Source organism: Homo sapiens, chromosome 12 (assembly GCF_000001405.40).
Source record: "Homo sapiens chromosome 12, GRCh38.p14 Primary Assembly".
NCBI lineage: Eukaryota > Metazoa > Chordata > Mammalia > Primates > Hominidae > Homo > Homo sapiens.
The window spans coordinates 100,951,250-100,976,775 of NC_000012.12; the positions used below are offsets into that span (position 1 = coordinate 100,951,250).

The 25,526-nt window shown below is 40.2% G+C and overlaps 1 protein-coding gene across 17 annotated transcripts in view; it reads left to right on the plus strand.

The window, feature by feature from the left end:
* Window positions 1-25,526, plus strand: part of ANO4 (anoctamin 4) — a 411,381-nt gene that overhangs the window by 233,989 nt on the left and 151,866 nt on the right. For 9 of the 17 annotated variants that reach the window (XM_011537912.3, XM_011537911.3, XM_047428305.1 and 6 more), the window contains 2 exons: window positions 20,057-20,157; window positions 23,596-23,640. In XM_011537912.3, coding sequence (XP_011536214.2) covers window positions 20,057-20,157; window positions 23,596-23,640 — 146 coding nt within the window. Of the gene's footprint in view, window positions 1-20,056; window positions 20,158-23,498; window positions 23,641-25,526 lie in introns of those variants that run through there. The other 8 variants (XM_047428302.1, XM_011537913.3, XM_047428308.1 and 5 more) reach the window with 3 other exon arrangements.

The window sequence follows — 25,526 nt, forward strand, 5'->3', positions numbered from 1 at the left end:
TCAATCACTGTGGAAAGCAGTGTGGAGATTCTTCAAAGAGCTAAAAACAGAACTACCATTCAACCCAGCAATCCCATTACTGTGTATATACCCAAAGGAATATAAGTCATTCTACCATATAGACACATACACATGTATGTTCGCTGCAGCACTGTTCACAATAGCAAAGACATGTAATCCACCTAAATGCTCATCAATGGCAGATTGGATAAAGAAAACATAGTACTTACACATCATAGAATACTATGCAGCTATTAAAAAGAACAAGATCATGTTCTTTGTAGGGACATGGATGGAGCTGGAGGCCATTATCCTTAGCAAACTAATGCAGGAACAGAAAACCAAATACTGCATGTTTTTACTTATAAATGGGAGCTGAACGATGAGAACACATGGACATATGTCTCTTCTTTTTTGAGAGAGAGACTTTGTCTTACTGGTTTTTGCATTCCAAAGACTTATTACAGTGCTTAGCTTGTGGAATCCTGAGTTTGCTACAAAAGATTGTGGATAGCTGATTTTCACAGCTGAGTCTGGGTAACAACAGTCAATTCATCTCCAGGGTTTTTCAACATAGACCCTATTGGCATTTAGGGCTGGATAATTCTTTGTTGTAGAGGGCTATTCTGTGCTTTACAGGATATTTGGCAGCATCTCTAGCCTCTACCCACTAGATGCCAGTAGCACCTCCTTCAAGTAATGACAACCAAATATATCTCCAAGCATTGTCACATGTCCTGGTGTGGGGGGAGGGAGGAATCATCCCTAGCTGAGAATCCCTGGGTTTGACCCTTGATCCAATATTATATGGTTTGTTGTAGTGTCTAGGGGGTAGCGCTTCCATTCTTTTATCCATGGTCAACCAACTTATTTCAGCACTCTTAACATCAGACTCTTGAATCAGAAAAGAGGCCTATGTATTTGAGGGGAAGAATAGAGTATGTGAAGACTGGCTCTCAAGCCAGACAGCTGGGATTTAGATCCACTTACTACTTCACCACTTACTAAGTGAATAACTGTGTAAAGCTTTTAATCTCTCTGTGCCTTAGTTTCTTTGTTTGTTAAGTGCCAGATAATTCCTATCTCAAGGGCTATTATGAGGATAAAATGAGTTAATAAATTACAATATGCTTAGGAAAGAGTCTGGACATATTGACAGCTTTAACGCATGGCTGTTGTTGGCATTGATGGTACTGATAAAGAAGGGAGTGATTTCAACCACTGGTCATCCTGTTCCTGAAGCTCAAGCATTCAATCCTGTCACCTCTTGGGCTGAGAGTCCTTGTGTGTCTGGGGAAAGCTGAGGGGACCTGGTAGATGGCAAGAGATATAACGATAAGTCCCACCTCATCACCAGGACTCAGTCCACCTACCACTGCCCCATATCAGTCTGTAGAATCAGGGCTGTATTCTTACTGGTTCATCTTGTTAGGGCAGTTTTATCAAATTGATGATGGTTTGAGAGAAGGTGTTCTCCCTCCTTTCCCTCCCTCCCTTAGTCTTACTCTAATTTCTGAGACCGGTTTAAAGATCTAAGGGCCTCATTATTGCCTCAACTGCTTTTGCTTATTTAGGTAGACAAAGTTTAATCAAAACATTTCTGTTGCCAGGTCAAGATGACCTGTACAAAGTTATCTTGATTTATTCAAAGGATTATTCCAAATCAACACGTATTTCATATAACTCACGCATATTACTTCAGTCAAGACAGACCAACTTTAAGGGAAAAAAATACCCATTATACAAGGCACAGCTGAAAAACTCAAGTCATTTTATGAACTATTGTCATCCCACAAAAAGAAACTTATTTAATCTAAAAGATTTCTCAGCAGTCTAAATTTAACTTCTCTGATATAAAGCACGTTTTGCATAATCATCATTATGTGCCACATGTGGGCATTGTATTATATTTATGAAAGGAATTGAAGTCCTTTGTGATACTTTTGCTCCTGCTGTTTTTGCTATGTTATGATAAATTGCTGAAAATTATGCAAAGTATATATCATGAATATGACACTAATTATTCATTAATGGCATGGAGAGATTTAAAAGCTTTGAAGCAGCCTGGAGAACTGTAAATCCATTTACAATCTCCAGCTTGTAACCCTTACAAGTGAAAAATTTGAAAAAGATGAAGTGTAAGCTGAGTATTATTAATTGAACTTGACATACCTTAGTTGCAAAAATGATGATGCAGCACTGCCTCTTGAGGCAAGGGCCCTGGCTTAGCTCACTTCCTGTTGTATCTTAGGCATATTTTAAGAGCAGTCTGTGGTATCTAATAACTCCATTTCCAGATGAAGTAATTCATTCATTCATTCATCAAATGTCTGATGAATATCTACTACTATTGAAGGAAGGGAGGCATTAAATAAATATATCAGATGTAATAGGTATTGTGGAGAAATATACAGGAATACTGGGAAGGAGTCACTATTTCATTTCAGGAGTTCAAGAAAAATCTCTATGATAATGGGTGAACTAAGCACAAAGAGAAATTGGAATTTGCATGTCTAAACCCAACTCTCTAAAGCATTGCAGAATTTTCCCACTGCTGGGTTTCCTTTGTTTTGTGCATTCCTATGCAGGCTGGCATGGGTGTAGGAAGAGTAAGTGGAGTAACTGAATGGGGGGGTATGGTAGCAGGGGGAATAGCTGGATTTGGCTGTGGGATAGAGGTAAACTCTGGTGTTTGCATCTAAATGAACAGGGAAAAAAGTCAAGTGCACGAGCAGTGTTGGGATTTTGGAGAGGCCCGACCTAGTTGCAAACACCTCCCTAACTTGTCCTTTTCCATTAATCAGTTGAACTCTCATTCTGGGTGCTACCTCTTCACTTTTGCCTACCCAGAAACCCAAAGTTTCTTCTTTAAAATTCTTCCCTAGTACTTATAATTGCCTAGCCCCTCTTTCATTCAGGGTTGTGCGGGAAAGCCACTCTGTGTCCTCCAGGAATGAAGTGTTCAATAAATAATTTTACAGCACTGTAAGACCACTTAAAAGGTTGGGCATGAAGGTCAGGGAATCCACCTCCCATCACTTCAGCCTGAAGCACCACAGCAGCAGGTCACAGGTGCCGGCGTGGAAGCCACTGGGATCTCACTAATGCCCTTCTGCAGCACATGATTCTCAAAACTTACCTGGAGCTGCTTCAAACCTCAAATCTGCCTGTAACTACCTGCCTGAGAAACAGCCTCTCCTTTCCCACCTTCCATCTGAGCACCCATCATTGTACACTTTAACCCAGAACTTTATGGAGAAGGGGATTCTGGGAAACCAGAACCAAGTTCTGGTCGCAGCTTCTCAGCAATGCAGAGGACTCAGAAGGAGGTGCTAAGGTGACAACAAACAATATAGTGCAGCCACCAGCCCTCCTAACAGGTTGTTCCCTGTCCCTTCATTTGAGGCTATGCTAGCCCCATCTCTGTAATACCCAGATGGTTTAAAAGTTGTAAGGTCTGAAATCTAACACCTGCCTTTGAGACAGAGGAGCAGCTATTTCTGTTTTTTAACATGGGCATGGCTGAGTAAATCACCCAGTCAGAGTTCCTCCCAGAAACCCACATCTTTGTTCTGATGCTAACGTTAGGCAACTGTCTTTTTTCAAAGCATAGCAGAATTCACTGGGACCCAATATTTAATTGGATAGTCAGCAGCAGCCACAAGCCTGCCTATGGAAATGTCCTTGTGTTTGTGATGCAGGGGAGGGAAAAGAAACAAGGAAAGACAAGCTAAAAATTCCTTCCACCATAACTGCCCACAGAGGAATTAAAGAAGGTTCCCTTTGTCGTGTCCAGCCCCTGCAGTGAGAGTATCAATCCTCATGCACACGTGTATTGAGCGTCTATTATGTTCCAGGCATTGTGCCAGGCACTGGAGAATAAAAAATAAATGTTCTAGTTATCTATTATTGTATAACAAACAACTCCAAAACTTGTATGTTAAAATAATAGTCATTCTTTTTGCTCTCAAATCTGCAATTGAGCAGGACTTGGTAGGGACAGCTTCCGTCTGCTCCATAGGACATCAGTCGGAGCAGCACTACTAGTGTCTGGAGGACCCCCCTTTTAAGGTGGCTGACTCACATGGCTGGAATGTTGGTGTTGGCTGTCAGCTGAAAGCTCAGTCAGGGTTGTGGGCTGTGGGCCTCTTCACAGGCTGCCTAGGCTTTCTCATGACATCGTGGCTGGGTTCTAGGAGAACAAGGTAAAAGTGAACTTTTACGACCTAGCCCTAGAAGCATTTATTCTGCTGTACTCCACTGGGAAAGGCAGAATGAAGGGGAAGGGACATAGATTCCACCTCTTGATGGAGAGTCATAAGGTTCTAGAAGATGTGTGGGATGAACAGTAATGTTGGGGCCATCTTTGGAAAATATAAGCTGCCACAATATGCTCAGCGTATTTGAGGAGCTCACTAACTAGCAATGAAGGCAGATGTGAAACGGATAGAATACAGTTTGAAAAGTTCTATGGAAGCCCTGGGGAATTTCATACTCTGCAGAGATTTCAGGAAGGTTAAGAGAGGTGACCTGGGACTTAAAGGATGATTAGATATTCACCAAGTCAGAAAGTAGAAGGGCATGGCATTCCAGATGGGAAACAACATAAACGATGGCATGATAGACTTTGAATTGAGGCCTTAGGGCTCCTCTGTGCACCTCTGCTTCCCAGACAGAGTGTGAATCCCATGAGGACTGCACGGATTTCTCCCTAGTCCACAGTGCCTGGCTCATCATGTCATCTTGACTTTCACATTATATATGCTCGCTTAGCAATTTCCCATGAACATAATTGACATCAGATACAATTGTTCTAGACCTTAATGACAGAGCTAGAAAGATGTGCATTTTATAGTAATTTTTTTCCAAAATGTTGCAACCAAATATCATTTAGCCTCTTTACAACCAAATCCATCACACTGTACTTATATTTAAATAAGAATCATCTCAATGCCAATTTCTTTCAGGCCAAGGATTTTACTAAACAAACTGTACCAGCCATTACCTACAAACTTAGCCAAGATCATGATGGTCTTCGAAGAAGGTGGTGTTACTGCTCACTAGAGTACTTTGTTTTTCAGCTCCATTCTTCTTTCTCTCTGTTTTCTACACATGTTGAAATTAAAAAGAGTTTTCTAGAAGACCAGGAGTAGAGCAGGCAGAAAAATGAAACTATACTACACATGATTTTCCTTGACCTTAGCAGTCCAGCAGGCAGGAAAGAAAAGTACATGTGGTGAGACCTTGTGCCCATTAGAGTTTCAGAAGTGCATTATGTCGCCTCTTGGGGACTCTCTTCCTCCTCAGTCTGTAGGTTCCTTTCTTCAGCCAGAATATTCTTTTGGATTGTGTAGCAGTAAATCACTTTGGCATTCATCTGAGGCTGCCTTGATTCAGTTTCTCAGACTCTAATAAGAATCTTCTGAAATCTAGTCTTTTATCAGTGACTCATGGATAACATCATATAGTTATAAAAGGGTAACCTGTTACAGGCGTTCGCTGTTCGCTGTTGCTTCTGATTGTTCAAGGGGATCTCCCCCAACTGCACGTATCTGTAGAAACTCCAGTCAAGTGAAAAACTGTTAGTCTTGATTCCTTATGTCACATAATGTTTTACTTAGTTGACAGAACACAGTTAAGCCATCAATTAAGTACTGAATTTTAGTTTGTCATTTCCTTTTTTTCTCTGGTCCCATTTGTACATAGCAAAGCTGTACCTTAATGCCTTTTTAAAATTAACTCTTTTTAAGGAAAGGGAGTTCTAAATAAACTCTTAAATACTTGGAACTGAAACTTTCTTTGAATGATGTCTTAGTTTATTTTGTGTTGCCACAACAGAATACCTGAGATGGGGTAATTTATGAAGAAAATATTATCATTTAGTTCATGGTTCTACAGGCTGGAAAATACAGGAAGCACAGCGCCAACACTTGCTCGGCCTCTGGTGAGGGCTTTTGTGCTTCGTCACATCATGGCAGAAGGTCAAAGTGGAAGTAGACACATGCGAAGAGAGGCAAAACCTGGGAGGTGTCCTGGCTTCATAACAACCTACTTTTGTGGGACTAATCCATTCCTGCAGGAACAGGTGCAGTCTCACCAGAGTGAGACCAAGCACCAAGCTACCCACAAAGGCAGCACCCTCATGATCCAAACACCTCTCACAAAGCCCCACCTCTCCACACTACCACACTGGGGGTGACATTTCAACATGAGTTATGGTGGAGACAAACAAACCATATCCAAACCATGGCCAGTGGGTTTAAATTGTCCAAAAATGTCATTGGGGAGTATATTGACTGTGATAATAAGCCTGCTGTTGAATTATCCCAACCATTTTTTAATTTATTATTTTTATTTCTTCTGACAGAGTCTGCTCTGTTGCCCAGGCTGGAGTGCAGTGGCGCGATCTCAGCTCACTGCAAACTCCACCTCCCAGGTTCAAGCGATTCTCACACCTCAGCCTCCTGAGTAGCTGGGATTACAGGCGTACACCGCCAAGCCCGGCTACTTTCCTGTACTTTCCAGCCTGCAGAACTATGAACTAAATGATAATATTTTCTTCATAAATTACCCCATCTCAGGTATTCTGTTGTGGCAACACAAAATAAACTAAGACATCATTTTTATATATTTTTTTTAGTAGAGATGGGGTTTCGCCATGTTGGCCAGGCTGGTCTCAAACCCCTGGCTTCAGGTGATCTGCCCACTTCAGCCTCCCAAAGTGACAGAATTACAGGCATGAGCCATGCCCAGCCACAACCATTTTTTTAAATCATTATTTCATGTCCCTCATTACTTAGCTTTGATTCTGTAGTTCATCATCATGACCACTCACAAGCACCTGAATTCTCTCACTCCTTTATTCCTTTGACTTATTTGCCGGGCAAAGCCCCGACCATGGTTAAACTGCATCTTGTTCATGCCCACCCCTGAGTGATTTAATGTTGCTGGAAAAAACATGCTGACTGGTTCACTTTACATCATGACCGCAGTCTCACACAGGTACCAGAGAATGCTCAGTGAGCCTGGTACTTTTGCTTCGTCCTCTCTATAAAAATCAAGTAACTTTCTTCCTCCCTCTTTTCCCATTTCACTCTCTCTCTCTTTGCTTCTTTCTTTCATTGATTCAATTTTAAAATTTCAATCATTAAAAAATCATATAGTGCCTGGCACAATTCAAGGCACTTGGGATACATCAGTGAACAAATCAGAGAGCCCCTACCCTTGTGAAACTCACATTCTAGTGAGGGAAACCGTGAACAATAAACATAATAAATAAGTAAATAATACAGTATGTTAGAAGGTGATAAATAGAGGGCCAGGTGCAGTGGCTCATGTTTGTAATCCCAGCACTTTGGGAGGCCAAGGTGGAAGGATTACTTGAGTCCCAAGTTGAAGACTAGCCTGGACAACATGGTGAAACCTTGTCTCTACAAAAAATGCAAAAAATTAGCCAGGTGTATTGGTGCATGCCTGTAGTCCGAGCTACTTGGGAGGCTGAGGCAGGAGGATTACTTGAGACTGGGAGGTTGAGGCTGCAGTGAGCCAAGATTGCGCCCCTGCGATCCAGCCTGGGCAACAAGTGAGAACCTGTCTCAAAAAAACAAACAAACAAACAAAAAAGAAGGTGATAAATGACATGGCACAAGAAAAACCAGAGCAGAGTGTGGGTATGAGAGCACTAAGGGAAAAGGATAGTCATTTTAAATAGGGTGTTGGGTGGGGGCTCACTGAAGGTGATGTTTGACCAAGATCTCGAATAGGTGGGGGAGTTGGCCCACTGTTACTTCACACTGCCCTCTCTCTGCCCAATCAACCTTCTCACCTGTTTTCTCTGCACCCTCATCCCTCTCAACCCCCCTCCACAGACACACACACACAGTTCTGCTGATAACCTTGCCTATACTCTGATAGAAAATGAAAATGCTCAGACAGGATCTTCTGTGACTCCCCACCCTCAACCTTCCCTCCCACCACCACTCTGTGTGTGCTGTCGCGGGAGCTCTCCTATTATTCGCTGAATCCCCTCTCACCTCACCTTCTCAAGGACTTTGCTCCTGTAATTGTCTTCCTCTATCTCTCCTGCATCATCATTTTTCCTCTCTACTCAGTTGTTACAAACATGCTCCCATAACTCACAAGATGAAAAATCTCTTGACCCCTATACTCTCCTCTAATGACCACTCCGTTTCTCTTCTACACTTCACAGAAAACTTCTTGAAAGATTTGTCTAGTGTCCTGTCTCCATCTCCTCACCTACCATTCTGTTTTCAAACTTCTCAGTTTGGGCTTTCTCCCTCACCATTTCACAGAAACCCCTTTTATAAAGGTGGCCTGTGATCAAATCCAGCAGTCATGCCGTCTCTGTTATCTTACTGGCCTCACCAGCAGCTTTCCTCCACATGGTGAGTCATTCCTTCCTTGAGAAAAACATGCTTCTCTTGGCTTTGGTGACATCTCATGCTTTCCTGGATTGCTTCCTTCTTCATTGGCTCTTTCTCAATCCCCTTTGCTCACCTTCTCTTCTGTTTGATCTTCAAATATTAGTCTTTTAAGACTTGATCCTGGGTCCCCTTTTCTTCTGTATCTCCATCTTCCTGTGACTTTTGTCCAGTTCCATAGCTTTATATAGCTTCTGCCTGTCACTCGAGGCTTTGTCATCTCAGAGGCTTTAGGCAGCAGGGTTTAGTTTTTGATCTCAGGATGGCAGAAGTGGAGGAGGAGGAATGCTCTTTGCTGCGACCAGGGACCCAGATAACAGAAGCTGCATCCAGACACCTGCCTCTGGGGCAGGGAAACACAAATCACACACCAGACTTCAAGGCTCTGCTCACAGCTCAATGGCTAGAGCTCATGATATGGCTCCTGCCTACCCAAGTGGGCTAAGGAGCTCAGATTTCCCTGTGCCTGAAGGAGAGGAGAACCGATGCCAGGGACACACTAGTGACCCCCACAGAAAATGTTTTCAAATGTACTTTATATATACATGTACATACATATTCACACACACGCACACACACACACACACCCTATAAAGTAGGTGAGGGTAGTTATATCAGCATTATACCAATGAGGAAGTGATATGAGTTGAGGTATAACCTATCAGATTTCTCTGTTATTAAAAATCATAAGAGCCCCATTTATTGACAGTTTTGTATAACCTTTAGGTAAAAACACTTGATAGACTATACCGCTGTGTGCCCTGTAACATCCTCTAATTTTGATCAGCATTTCACCAAGACATAAATATAACAGACTGAGGAGGGATGTCATAACCCTTCCCAAGTGCACATGTATACCTATGTAACAAACCTGCACATTCTGCACATGTATCCTGGAACTTAAAGTAAAATAAAAAAAAAAAAGACAGATAGTAAAAAAAGAAAGTATTTCCAAAGTTAAATTGCTTCCTCACTAGCAGAAGACACCAAATTCTTCTGTCTTTTCTGGGTCTTGCTTATTTCATGGCTGTTAATCTCTGCAGCGTACTAAGGGCATAGCGATTCATGGGTTACTGATTGGGTCATAGCTGTGAATGGCTGTCAGTGGGTTGATGTTTTGTGATAATAAAAAGTATACTGTGATGATAAAGTTGTCCCCAAGTTCAGTTTATCTCATATACCATCTAGAAGAGTAGGGAAAACATTATGATGGTCTGTAAGAAGTGAAGGGACGTTTGGAATTTTATAGATCAGAACTGACATTGCTTACTTCTAAGGAGAGATTTAGTACTGGGATTACCTACAAAGGGAGTATTTTCTCTCCCAATAGATAGTAGACCAACCTCTGTTCATACTAATTACATTATTTATAATTAGGGTCATCATTGCTTTGCTGAATTTTGAGTTCCCTGAGATCTTGAACTATGTCTTAACCTTCTTTGTATCCCGAGGGTCCAATTAGGGCCTATGCACTAGGCAACACAGTGCACAGTAGTTAAATCATCTTTAGGTGTTTGCTGAATGATTTTATGAGTCATTGTGTTGTGAGGCAGATAAAACATTTGCTTTTCATAATAGATCTAAGAAGGTGATGGAAGAAGGTTGTCTATATCAGGGTGTATTAATTAGCAGTATCAGATATACTCCCACTGCCGGTGGTCTTGTGGATAGATGTAGCCATATGACTACTTCTGTTCAATGGGCTGGGCACAGAAGTGTTATGTATCCTTATGAGGCCCTCTGAGCTCTGCCTTCCCTCTGGCAGAGTGACCCATCAGCATGAACCACTAAATCACTGCAACGAGCTGACCTGCAGTAGACATGTAGCATGAACAAGAAATAAACTTTATCATGGCACTAGCCGATAGAAATAATGTAATTTAAAATATTCGGGAGCTACATATAAAAGGTAAAAATAAACAGATGAATTTAATAATAGTTTTGCTTATCCAATAGATCTAAGATATCATTTAAACATATGATCAACATACGAATTATTGAGATATTTTACATTCTTTTTTTGTATATATGCTAAGTCTTCAAAATCTGGTGTGTACTTTCCACAGTCAGCACATCTCAATTTGAACTAGTTATATTTTAAGTGTTTAATGGCCCCAGTTGCCTACTGTACTGCCAGTATAGCTCTGCTGTTTGAAGTTACTGATATTTGGGGGTTATTAGTTGCTGCAACATAACTTAGCCCATCCTGACTGCTACACTAAACATTGATTTTCCTTGGATACCCTGATGAAGTAAGTCTTCCAGACTTGACATGGGGATCACCAGGGTTGGTACAAAGTGACAAAGAGTATGTTGCATCAGGGGATTCACTTTATGGCAACATAGAGAACCTCTAATGAAATGTGTGAAGATTTGTGCTCAGCCCCTCAGCACTGAACATCTCCTAATTGTGGCCTAGAGGAGAGTTTACTTTAGTTTCTCATAAATTTAGCCACATTGAAACCTCTGTGGTAAGAGGATGAATTTTTTTCTGCCTGATAATAGTGTTTTAACAAGGTAATCAATAATGTGAGAAAGCTACTCGAAGTCTCGATCACAAGATGTTCATAAATTCATTTAGGAAGCATTCCTTCTCAATGACTGTGTGCTCAGTAACATGCTGGGTGCTGGGAATACAACTGTGGAGAAGTGTACAGTCTCACAAAGACAGCAATGAAATCTATAATTAGAGTATTCATTAGCTGGAATATGACCTGCATTAGTTTTATATCGCGGCTGAAGAGATTACTTCAAACTTCAAGGCTTCAAGCAACCTATGTTTATGCTCCCACAGTCTCTGTGGGTCAGGAGTCTGGGTACAGCTCAACTGTGTCCTCTAATCAGGATCCCTCCAAGGCCACCCCAGGGTGTCTGCCAGGTTGCATTCTTTTCTGCAGCTCAAGGTCCTCTCGCATAGTTATTGGCAGAATTTAGTTTTCCTTGTGGTTGTAGGTCTGAGGTCTTCATTTTCTTGTTGGCCTTCAGCCAGATATAGTTCTCAGCTTCTAGAGACCCCTCAGAGACCCTCACACAACACAGTGGCTTATTTCTTCAAAGCGAGCAGGAGAATCTCTCTGACCTCTAGGCTCTTTTTTAAGGACTCATCTAATGCATTCGGCCCAATCCACGCTGCAATGGAAGGAGCCCAGCCATGAGGCTGTTGCAGTATTCAAGAAGAGAGATGATGGTTGCTCAAAGGAGGGTGGTGGCAGTAGAGATGGAGAGAAGTGGATAGATTAGAGAGAAGTTTAAAAGGTAGAATCAATAAGACTTGGTGATTTGTTGGATATGACATAAGGAAAAAAGAAGTTAAAGATGGCTCCTGGACTTGAGCTACTAAGAGGATGATTGTGCCATTTCCTGGTCTGGGGACACTGAGAAGAAGAGCAATTTTGCCAGTGAAGCAGATCCATTATAGACATTGATGTGTCTGATCTGCCAGTGAGACACCAGGTACCAGGTGCCACAATGACCACTGGCTACACTGATCTGGAGCTCAGAAGAGAGGTGTGGGCCAAAGATATGAGTCTTGGAGATATCAGCTAATAGGTGACATCTAAACCCATTACAAGGGATGAGATCATCTAGGGAGGACAGGTAGAATGAGACTAGAGCCTGGATGAAGTCCTCAGGGACCTCCACTTAAAGGTCTACTAAGGGGGAGGGAGTGGCAATTTCACACACACCAATTTCTTGTTGCTGTTACTAATGTCACTTTCAGGGAATGAATATTGTAATCATTTAGGAACATATAGTACTTCAAGAGGCTTCTCTCCACCAGGACACTGTGTGTGTGTGTCTGTGTGTGTGTGTGTCTGTGTGTGTGTGTGTATGTGTTGCAGAGAGGAAATTGCATCCGAATCAGCTGAAGAGCATTTGTAAACTACACTCACAAATTCCAATGTGTCCCTAAGGGAAAAGAATAACAGATGCAAAAAATTTCTTTTTAGAGACACGTGCCCTCATTTTTTAGAGAAAACTGGAGCTCATAAAAGTACAAGTCATTTGCCCAGTGCTACACAGTTGGCTAGATGATAGCCCCACTGAGAGGAGTTAAAGGAGCCCTTTAACCCTCGAGGAATGTACACTTATCCATCAGTTTCACAGGCTAGATTCCAGAAACATCAAGGAATTCTAGTGTCAGCTATTGGGGGTTACCCAAATGTCCCCCAAGCATTCAGTACCTGTGAGTGGAAGAAAGAAATTCTCACTTATTGAACCAGTACTATACAACCATGACAGCTCCAGAATGATGCTGCAAGGCAGATATTATTTTCCTCATTTTACAAATGAAGAAACTGAGGCTTATGAATTGAGTAATGTGCCCACAGATGGCAGAACCAAGCTTGAAATTTGCTCTTACTACTGGCCTTACATTAATTTTTAGGATGTTAAAGCCAACTGTATACATTGTGCATTGACTGTAATATATAATTAAGCATTCCTTCAAAAAAAAATTACAGTGGAATTGAGTTCATGAGCAAATACATAGTGTGAGCCTCTCAGCTTTCTTCTTGTGAAACAGCAGTTCTGAAGCCAGACTGCATTGATGAGAACCAGGCTCCATTCCTTACTTGAGTAAACTTAGCCAAGGTACCAGACTTCTTTGTGCTTTAGTTCCTCATTTGCAATAAATTAGAATAATAATAATACCGGGGTTGCTGTGAAAATTGAATGATTTAATGTATGCAAAAGCTTTGAAACACCACCTAACGTGTAGTGGCACTATGTAGCTGGTCCCGTCTCTATCATTACTATTCATTTGCATTCACTATGATTTTTTTTAATCCAAGAGGCTTATCTGAGTTTCCAATTAGAAATTAATATCTCCTCCTAGCCCCAGAATTTTAGAGTTTTGCTTTGTCCTCTTAACAGTATAGTTATGAGAAAGTGATGCCCAGATAGTTACCTAAGGGGATACAGAGCAGATGCAAGTGGCTAACCTGATTTGATCCTTCACGCTCAGTAAATTGAAACGTCAAGCATATTTATGCCTCAGGGCCTTTGTCTTCTACTCTTCTCACTGACTGGAATGCTCTCTCCCTGTGTAATAGAACAGCCTCCCTGAGTAATTTCTTCAGGTCTCTGTTCAAATGTAACCTTATCAAAAGGCTTGTCCACACCACTCTATCTAAAATAGCATCTCCTTCCCACCATTACTTTCTATTTTCTTACTCTATTTTTCTTCAAAGCACATCATCAGAAGTATTACACGTCTATTTATTGAGGGTCTGTCTCCCCATTAGAGCTTGAGTTCCGCAAGAGCAGGGATTTGGTCTGTTTTGTTCACAGCTGTATTCCCAGCACCTAGGACAGGCCCTGGAACATCACAGGCCATCAGTAAAGATTTGCAGAATAGATGAGTGGATGTGTGAGTGAATGCTAAGTTACAGTTCACACAATGGGATTCATGGCTATCTGCAAAGACCACCATGATTTACAGGTGCATTGTCACCTACACAACTTTGGGACAAACTGGACAGCTCCAGCCCCTCACTGCAGTTAAGAGTACTACCATCTGTCCAGTTCCCCAGGCCAAATAACCTCTTCATCATTCTAGGCACGGGATTTTTTTTTCACCCTCCTTATTTGTTCAGTCCCAAGTTCTTTCAAACCTACCTCCACTAGATCTCAAGTCCGTCTATTTCTCCTTTCGTTCTGGTTCTAACCACCATCTTGTCTCACCTGGCTACTAGAATAACTTTCTTATTGAACTTCCCACTCCTATGCTTCCTGTGGACCATTCTCTGCAAAACATGCAGCACGCACTTTTGGAAACAAGTGATCCCTGCCTGTAACTCATTAGTGGCTTCCTATTGGCCTTGGAAAATAAATCCAAACTTCTTACCACATTGTACCTGGCCTGGCATGATCATTCCCAGCCCTCTTCTCTAATCCTATCTTAGGTAACTCTCTCCACCTCACACTTTACAATGTTCAATCACCCCAGCCTTTTAGTTCCCGGAACAATCTCTGGGCCTTTGTTCTTGCTGTTTCTTCTGCTTGGAATGCTTCTCACTTGACTCTTCCTATGCCTAACACCGTCTCATCTTTCAGATTTCAGGATAAAAGTCACCTAATCACAGATCAACCAGCAAATCTTAATCAGGTGCCTCCAGTTCTTTTCTGCCACAGAACTATATTCTTTTCCTTTTTAAATACTTTTCATAATTTTACATCATGCTTATTTGTTGTCTGATGTCTGTCTCCCACTCTAGATTGTAAATCCTATCTACTGTGGTATATCCATCACCTGGAAGAGTCCCTGACACAGAGTAGCCACTTAATGAACATTTTTGGGTGTTATTGAATGAATGTCACAGACGAACCTGCAGGAAACCCTGAAGATACTGAGGGAAAAAAGACAGGAATTGGGTGCTTGGATCTCAGGATTTCTGGTGGTTCGGGCTTGTCATCAAAGACTGATAAATCCTTCCAAAATACTGGTTTCTTATTTATTACCTTCTCAGGTTATAATTTGAGTGAGTAGGAATGCTGTGTTCTTTTCACCATACCACCAATATGATGTGGCCCCTCTTGGAGATAACAACAAGCATATTTTTAGATTTACTATGAGCACCTTAACGGCATTATGCCATTTAATACGATTCAATAAGATATGCATTGCTATCATTTCCTATTTTACATTTGAACAAACTGAGGCACAGAGAAGTTAAATAGCTTGTTCAAGATCACAGGGCTGGTAAGAGGTAGATAAATGAATATAAATATGTGAAATCCAACCTCACAGTCCGAATTGCTAACCTCTGAGGCACAGATGCCCACATGGCATTGTACCTATACTCCCATAGTGGCCTCTACCAGCCCTTTAAATATCATGTTTATCCTGGACACACTTGCTTTGTATCTCTGGCCCAGACTTCTACCCTGAGCTCCAGACTCATTTGTCTAACTACCCACAAGACATCTTCTCCTGGGCATGTCAAACTTAACTTTTCCAAAACTGAGTTTATGATCTACCTCTGTACCCCCATCCCCCATGCCCAAACCTGGTCTGTCTCTATTTCCTCTTCTCAATAAATGGCAACAGGAATCATGAGATGTGGAGATGTGTGTGTTTATACTATATATATACACACACATGTATATATATACACACACACACATATATATATACACATATATATACACACACACATATACACACATGTATATATATATACACACACACATACACACACACACACACACACATACATATATATATGCATACACACTCCTTTGAGAGATGGACTGCTTGGATTAGATAGTGGCATGGCATTTCTCCTGCCTTACTGTTGCAAGGACTGTGACTGTTACATACCAAGGCATGGACCAAAATTTATTAAATAGAAGGTTTTCAGTATGTTCTTGCTGAACAAAAGAAAAAAAAATTTTGTGTGTGAATCTTATCTCTTTTTACTCCAGGTAATTTCCCATGATACTCGTTAATTTTCTCAGTCATTTTTCTAAGAATATTTTCCCAAACTTCTCTAAGTGGTAATTTTTCTCTCCCCAAGGTTTTATTCCCAGGAATTTGTATTGCAGTATATTAATGAAACAACTCTATGTTTCATAAAAATCATTTTCATTTCTTTTCACTTTGGCTCTTGTGCACTTGGATTTATGTGGCAAGGAATACTTAATAATAAGGAAAGACCTATCTAGAAACAGCGGTGTAATCATTTGGCAGTAGAGAAAAGAATGATTTATGGGCCATATAATTAGCAATCATCTGTTTCTCATTTATTTCTCAGGGCTGAAGTTCAGAAGGCATTCAGTAACAAGCAGTAGGTAATGCCTTCTCAGTTCTTCCTTGAAAAACTGAATATAAATAATAAGCCCCATACACTATATTTTCCCTTAAGTATGTAAAGAGGACACACACACACACACACACACACACACACACACACAGAGGACTCATAGATATTCATCGCCATTCAAGAGAATTCAGGTAATATTTTTTCTCAAGATAATCAAAAAAACCTTTAATAGCCCCAAATAAAATCACAGTTCATTAGTAACTTAAGTTTGCTTTACATGAAGGAAAGCCTCTTTATTTTTGTTGCTTTGTTTTCTAAAATATGAAATTCTTTTAAGATGAATTTGTATAAACTGATAAAGCAACAATTCAGTCTATGCATCTTAAATGCATTTGCAAAGCCATGGATTTATTTAAACTTCAGAAGTTATCAGGTATAATTCAAAAGGAAGTTAAAAGGTGAGGGTATGGAATCAGCTCTGTCTGGGGTAAACATTCAGTTTGGCTGTGGGTGAGCCACTTGTCACCTCTCTTTCTCCTCCTCTAAGAAACTGAAGGAAAACCACTCTCACAGGGTTCATATGGGAATAAGATGGGGTAACATGTGAATGTGCTTTGACAATTGCAAAACATGAAAAATAATAAATAAATAATATTGTTATTATTTAAATAATAAGTGATTTTTATCCAGCTGAATAAATCAAAACAGCTATCCTTTTATGCATAAAATGGTTGAGATCCCACGTCAGAATTTTAGTTGATTCAGTATGTGTTCAGATAATGAACTTAGCTTTTCTACATATAGAAATGTATTTATATTGTTCTCTGAGTGGAATATTTTAATATATTTTTAATGTTTACATACATTTATGAAAAGTCTTCAAATGATTATTTTCCCACTAGATTGTTTATTTTCTGTAAGACCTAACACTTACAGTAAATCTATGGAGAGAGTATACTCTAAGCGCTATATTCTGCTCTAAATCATTTGTTTAATTCAGTGACTCTATCACATTTCCATATAGTGTCTTCGGTGTTGCCCAATTTTACTCTTTCTCTCATAGGAAGATGAGTGAATATAGAACCTTATAGGAAAGCTAAGTGAATTTAAAGAAATCCCATTATCATGATTAAAATTTCCAACTTAGGAAGCCACAAAGCCTTCCCAGATCTGAAGTATATCTTCATATAAAGAAAAAGAACTATTTTTAGGAAATACAGTCTTTCTTCTGCTTTATAACTTGGAAAACTGTACTATGTATTGAAAAGCAAGCGGCAATCTTTTCTGAAGTCCAACAAATGCTCAGCTGAAAAGCTGTGAGACCATTTCAGATCCCCAAGGCATCATTGCGTCCACAGGCATGAAATGGGGCAGGACTGACTGTGTGTGTGTGATGTTTCTGTATGTTCTCTATGGGCATCGCAGCCTGTGAGCTCATTCACATACCCCTAACTACTTAGCTCTGATCTAAGCAGCTGTGCCGGGAGGACTGACCATAATAGGTTACTCAACAGAAGAAAACAGTGTTTACAAAGAGACAAAGCATTGGCCATCAAATTTTCAGTTGTTACTGGTTTGTCCACTCCCTGGACAGGCACCTCATTTGCAGTAACCTGCAGTGTTCACTCTAAGAGTCACTTCATTGACAGTCACTTCCTGCTTCACAGGAATCACAATATCCACCTAGGCCAGGTCTAACGGCCCACATTTCACTAATCATGTTCATGGATTAGATAAATATTGTGTGTGTGGTCCCTCCATGCCAAGCACTGTGCTAGGCCCAAAAGATCCAACTATGAATAACAGAAATATTCCTTGTTCTCAGGAGGGTTATACTCAGGGCACTACTTGTCCCAAGCCAGAAGATAAAACCTCATTTCAGCCTGAACTGCCAGAAAGTTAGACTTTTCAGACCAATATTAGAGAGTGCCTCCCACTACTGATGGGCCCTGGCCTTCCTACCCTTAGGAAATTCAGCATCACACCAGTCTCTGAGAACACTGCAGTTGATGCCAGTTTGATTTTCATAATATCTTGATGAGTTGATTTGTGTAGAGTATTTATAACCCTTGAATGTTTATAATTCAGGTCAAAAAGACTCTGAATTAAAGTATCATAAATGAATTACAACTTTACATCCATCTGCAATTTGAAAACAATTTCCCGGAGTGCAAATTTACCCCAGCTAGAGGAAAAAGTTGAGCTTCTATTTTTGTCAGTTGTGCAAAAACAACAAGAAGAAACAACAAAGGATTGTTATACAATACTAGTATAAGGAAAGTCTAGCCACAAAGCACAAAGTCCTAACATATCTGTCAACATTCCTAAACTATAAAAACTTAAATGCCATGCAGTCCAGATCAATCCTATATGAGAAAGATGGGGATAAGTAATTGGCCACTTTACTAATTTAAACTAGCTTGGCTCATATTTTCTCACTTTCCTTCTACAACTGATCCCTCCTTGTGGAAAGTGACTTCCAAAGAGAAATCTCCTAATTGGTTTTTCATGTCCTTTTGTCCAGAGGCATAGACCAAAATCTGTTGGATGGTTACTGGGGTGTGAAGTCCTAATTTTACTTCCCTATGTTCTGGGTTGATAAAAAGCCCTGAAGGAGGCAAAGGTCTTTGTCCAAAGAACACAGCTCTTTCAAAAAGCTTTGCCAGTCACCCACCCAGATTGCAATCTCACATCTTTTGGCTCCCTTCATCTCCACCACCACCAACTTTTGCTTTTGCCTGGATGACTGAGAACATTCCTTCTTCTCCCTCATCATTTATTCTCTATGAAACAGCCACAGTGACCTTTGACAACCTAAATCAAAGTGGTTTCCCAGTGTTCCTAGAATAAAGTGCGCTGCACGTCCTGTCTTCTGCTCACTTTCTCAGCCTCTTCTGATGCCACTCTTCCCTCCTTAGTACGCCTTAGCCCTTTGCTCTTCTTTCTCTCCCTCAACATACCAGGAAGCTTCCCAGCTCAGGGCCTTTGCACCCAGAGCGCTCATCCCATGCTCTTTCCCCAGCTGGTGCCTTCTCCTCCTTAGGTCTCAGCTCACATGTCACTTCCACAGAGGAGACTTTCCTTGACCCCTTGTCCAGATGAGTATGTAGCCCCCTCCCATAACTGTTTCTGTCATTACTTTATCTTCAGAACACTCAATATTATCTGAGTCTTCCCTCCCTCCCTTCCTCCCTCCCTCCCTCCCTCTCCTTCCTTCCTTCCTTCCTTCCTTCCTTCCTTCCTTCCTTCCTTCCTTCCTTCCTTCCTTCCTTCTTTCTTTCGACAGAGACTCCCTCTTGTTGCCCAGATTAGAGTGCAGTGGCACAATCTCAGCTCACTGCAACCTCCACCTTTCGGGTTCAAGCGATTCTCCCGCCTCAGCCTCCCCAGTACCTGGGGTTACAGGCACCTGCCACCATGCCTAGCTAATGTTTGTATTTTTAGTAGAGACGGGGTTTCACCATGTTGTCCAGTCTGGTCTCGAACTCCTGACCTCAGGTGATCTGCCTCAGCCTCCCAAACTGCTGGGATTAAAGGCGTGAGCCACCACGCCTGGCCTATCCTTGCTTTTCAACTTGTTTTTGCCTATCTTCTTTAACATTTTTGTAGAATGTAAATGTTATTCATACCTCCCTTGTTTACAGCTGGGTCTCCAGCTGACATGAGTGCCACACACACAGTGGGATGTTTGTTAAATGAATACTTGCACTTGTAAGGGTCTGGCCTATTGGTGAGGAATGCCCCAAATCATAAACTCTGTCCAGGTCCATGCATTCTAAGTTCCAACTCAACTTAAACTGTGGGAGCCTTGAATATACTTTTCAATTTAGTTTCTTTTTTCTGTTTCAGTCCTCTCTAATAAATAGTGACATTATCTTTGTGAAGTTGCATGCCCCATGGGAAGTCCTTGGAAGATATGCAGAACAAATGAATGTAAGAATGCCTTTCAGGTAGGTGGAAATGTATTTTATTCCACTCTCTCTGCTGCTTCACTGTAAATCTAATGTTCTCCTCTCTCAGAACAAATAAAACTGAAATGCAGATTGGAAGGCCATTAGAGGAGGGAATCTTTCAAATGTTTAGGATATGCAAATAAGCCTTCATGGCCAATAATGATTTCATGGCTTTTTGTGAAAAATTCTGGCTAATTTAGTTCTTAGCAGGTAGATATTTCCAGTGCCTGTAATAAAGAAGCATTTTCCAAGTGGCATTTTTATTTCCAAAGTGCCATTTTTAGAAGTCCTGTGTACTGCTGCTTTGAACAGCCAGACCACAGGCAGCAGTTGCACAGGGGCATGTTTTCATGTTCTTTACTGACTAGTCTCTTCCAGAAAAACATTAAAATGTATTTCTGTAGATACAAGTGCAAGAAATTTCATGACAGTGTGATCTTCTTTTTAAAAAAAAAACAAAAAAAACCACTTTTTTTAATTTTAAAAAGTCATAAATACTTTGCAAACACGAATATTGATATTTGTTCCAAGGGGAATAGAAAATACTTTGTATTCCTTAGTTATTTAAAAGGATTAATTTACCTTCATTTCACAATGAATATTTTTATTTTCCCTATGGATTATGGAAAAGTGATCTGCATTTGCTATACAGAAATAAAATATTAAACCTCAAATTAGAAATGCCAAGATATGTGGGTCTTTTGTAATGGAATCTGCTAAAAAGATGGATGGATGTAGTCCCAAGGACAGTTCTGAGGGGACTCGAAGAATAACGTACTTTTGGTTTGCAATTTGCCAGTAAGACCACATTAGGTGACAGAAATGAGGCAAATTGGTACCAACTCTACAGTCTGTCTCTTAATGAGCTGTGGAAAGTTGTGGAGACAAAGAACATTTATAGAGACAGAGAGAAGGGTTAGGGACTCATTTAGAGAAAGGCAATTTCCATTCACAGGCTTGTAATGTATCTCCCTGGTGCATCTTATCTTCTTTGTTCATTGGCCTGTATGTCCTAATACCAAGTCAAAATAGAGGCTATGATTTCTAGCATCTGTTTTCCTGGAGGCAAAATTCTCAAAATGGATAATAAATATAGTTCTGATCTTATGATTTATTTTTGTATTTAACTGTTAAAAAGAAAATCTGAGAACTCAAGGATTAAAAAAAGGAATACATATATATATCCACTAGGGAGAGATAAGGAATGTCAATTTAGATTCCACTGAAAATTTTTATACTATAATAGTTAAAGCCAAATATGTATCAATGATATAATAAGTGTCTAATGTGGATTAATACCATATTATACCTAAGAACCGAAAGAGAAAGAAAGAAAACCCTACAAAATATGTCTAGATAGAAATTTATACACCCCTCTCCAGTATAAATAAATCTCATAAAACCTTCTGCCAGAACACACTTCTGTAACAAAGAACCCAGGGAGATGATAGAAACTTGAGCAATGGTAATGCAAAGCCAATTCTCTTACTACCTGCAAAGGATTTTGTATCTGAAGGGCCTGGCCACATCATGAATAACACTTCTGCATGCCTACTACACAGCAGAAATGTGCTGCCTCCAAGCAGCATTAATACTGTTTTAATGCAGCATTGAGAGAATGTGAACCAAGCAATGAAATGAAAATGAACATGAACAATTATCTTCTTTTTAGATATAGGAATTCCTGCAGGACAATTTTAGAAGAAAATATTGTTAATGTGTGACACTAATTGACCTCATTAATATTGATGTAGGTTTACCTACTAAACATGGCTTCACTTGTTGTAACCTGATGGATTAAAAACTTTTGCTATTATTGTGTCCACAGTTTCAGACAAATAACTCTAGTCTAAGGAGATACATGCATTTCCAAAGGAGGAATTCTCCTACTACATCATTTCAACAAAATGTACAAACATCATTTTAGCTGAATTTTAATACGCAAAGAATCTTACCTGTATTCATAATTTTCTGTAGATTCATAATTTTCTGTACTTCTGAATCCCAAGTTTAGTCTCCATGGATTTTTATCCCTATAATGTTTAAAAGGAAATATAGGAATAGATTTCTTATGAGAAATTACAGTAAAACCTGCTTCTTAAATACTTATATGTCCATGGATATTTTTTATAACTAATAGACCTTACTTTTTAGAGAAATTTTTAGGTTTATAGAAAATTGAGAAGATACTAGTGTTCCAATATACCCCTTCTCCCCCAGCCTACAGTTTCTTTATTATTAACATTTTGCATTAGCGTGATATATTTGTTAAAGTTGGTGGACCAATATTGATAAATTCTTATTAACTAAAGTCCATAGTTTACTCTAGGGTTGACTCTGTGTGTGTGGTTCTGTGGGTTTTGACAAAGGCATATCATGTATCCACCATTGCAGGATCATGCAGAGTAGCTGCACTGCCCTAAAAGTCTCCTGTGTTTCATCACCTTCCTTCTCCCCCGACCTGTACCTCTGGCAACCACTGATCTTTTTATTGTCTCTATAGTTTTGCCTGTGTTTTAAAGCTTTCACAAATACGCAAAAAAATTGGTGATATATAAACTTACCATTTACAGAAGTCAGAGAGTTCAGTAACAGTTCGGGATATACATAAAAAGCACCTGTTTCATTATTATTCCATTCAGTTTCGGTTGAAGCCTGAAATATGGAAAGTGAGGTTGCATTTTAATAAAGAATCTAATACATGTATTCTCCATTCAAACTACACCAAGAATTTTCATTTTTAACATTTTTAAAAGATAGATATATAGCAATCTGACAGAATAAGACTGATTTTTGTATAGTTTCCAGAATTCCTTGATTTTACTTATTTAATTCATCTAAAGCCAGGGCCAGTGGTTAGCCAGTGTGCCCCGGTGTGGTTATGTACAGCTGGGTGTTGATGCTGACAAGTGAGTGTCCTTCCCATACTGGTTGTGAAATACATATATATATATTTATTTATATTTATATTACTCCTGTCTATACCATGAGAGACGTGTCTTGTGTAAACTTAAAATGCTATATAAATATTAGTTAATATAATAGCGTGCCCACTAAATTATGTATGTTGCCCTCTGATCCATCTTTGCATTTTCCTGGGGAAAAAAGCTGACCTCAGCTGAAGCTGTGCAAATACCAATCACTCCAAATTATCATACTGCACATGCTTTGTAGGCAAGGAGCAACCATTAAAAAAAAATTATGGTAATGGGTAGAGGAAGAAATATCAATGGAAACTGTTTCATAAGATTTCATGACTCAAAAACGCATGCCCTGTGTTCCCACTGTATTTCTCACTGTTAATCTCTTTTTAGTTTTTTCTTCTTCACCTCTTACAGGCTTCTATCTTCAATCTCCTTTCCTTCCTTGCTAGTTCAAACTGTAACTGACGATGGGTTTTCTTCTCGACTGGCTTCATTTTTGCTGTTCTTCCAGGAGAAAAATCTATTACCTGCCCCGCCGTTACAAGTTCATGAGCAGGTTAGTAGCACGCTCTGTCCTGACAGTGTTTGTCTTTCTGTTGGCCCGTGTGCTCCAACAATGACAAGGAGCTATAAGCTGGGGAAGATGAGCCTGTGTCACATGGGAAAGTTGGCTGCCATGCACATTTTAAAATCAGCTGTGTCTGATTAGCCTGAGGAGAAAAAAAGATGAAAACGTCCCTCTCCGCGTCTTCCCAGTAACTTCTTCCCACTTGGGGGGATTGCCATTCATCTGCAAGTGTGCTGGGGCTATTGCTTTTTAGCCCATTCTTTTTTTTTTTTTTAATTTCAATAGTTTTTGGGAAACAGGTGGATTTTGGTTACGTGGATAAGTTATTTAGTGGTGATTTCTGAGATTTTGGTGCACCCATCACCTGAGCAATGTATACTGTACCCAATGTGCAGGCTTTCATCCCTCGCCCCCTCTTTTTAGCCCATTCTATTAGATAAATTATCAAAAATCCCAATATCTTTGGCCTAGATGTTCTCCCTTCCCTTCCCTTTCTTTTTCTTTTTTCTTTTTCTTTCTTTCTTTCTTTTTTTTTTTTGAGACAGAGTCTTGCTCTGTCACCCAGGCTGGAGTGCAGTGGTACCATCTCCGCTAACCGCAACCTCCGCCTCCTGGGTTCAAGCGATTCTCCTGCCTCCAAGCGATTCTCCTGCCTCAACCTCTTGAGTAGCTGGGATCACAGGCATCTACCACCACGCCCAGCTAATTTCTGTATTTTTAGTAGAGAGAGGGTTTCACCGTGTTGGCCAGGCTAGTCTCGAACTCCTGACCTCAGGCGATCCGCCCACCTCGGCCTCCCAAAGTGCTGAGATTACAGGGTGAGCCACCACGCCTGGCCAATGTTATTTTTTTCTACAAAAATTCCTCCCTCCACTATATGTAATTTGAAAGCTTGAAGTGCAGATAGTCATCCTTAGCTGCTGGCTACTTGACTTCATGAGTGGGGTCCTCCTATGTTAGTAATATTTTGTTAATAACATATGCAGATGTATAGCCTCACTCAGGTGCCCTTCCTACCCTCTTTTCTGCCAAAAAAAAAAAAAGAAAAAAAAAACCCACCAGATGAAGATTGCATCTACTATACTTTGTATCCTCCGAAAGCTTGTTTTTCCTTGTTTTTTGAGGAGCTAGGGAGAAGGGGAATGCATCAATGATGATGTCCTCTAATTTGATTCTGTTGTGATCATTGGAGAATCTAATTTCAAAATCTTAATTGATCTTATGTTTTCATTCACCCTGAGCTGAGCTGAGCTGATGGTTAAACTGGGAAACTAGTAAATTTCTCTGAAAATCCTAGTTAGTTCAACTCTATGAAATTTAGAATTCAGGTTCCCTCTGTTTATATGCTATGTTGAGTGATAAATAAAAGAGTAGTTGGTACATTATGGTGGGTTTACTCAAATGCATGTTTACTCAGTGAAGTACAGTGTGAGAACTGACCTCCAAAGAAGTGAAAATGTTGTTTCTCAAAAATTGCCTGCGAGCAAGCTTATTGGCAGTTCTTTCATTAAGCAGTTGACATGACATTTGGATTCACCATGATTTAGATTGCTACCTTGTCACACTGTAATCATCTGTACAATCCTGATATAACAGTTTAGCCTATATTAATAGTTCTCAAACTCCAGCCAGCATCAGAATCACCTTGTTAAGGCACAGATTTCTAGGCCTCAACCCCAGAGTGTCTTGTTCAGTAGATCTGCAGTGGGGATGGGGAATTTTCACTTCTAATGGATTCCCAGCTGCAGCTAATGCTGCTGGTCACGGGACGATGTTTTGGAAACCATTGGTCTGTATGATAGGCCAAGCTCCATCTTCTCATTAAAATACGGATTTGACTGACTATGGGACGGGAAAACAAAAACCAATATCAA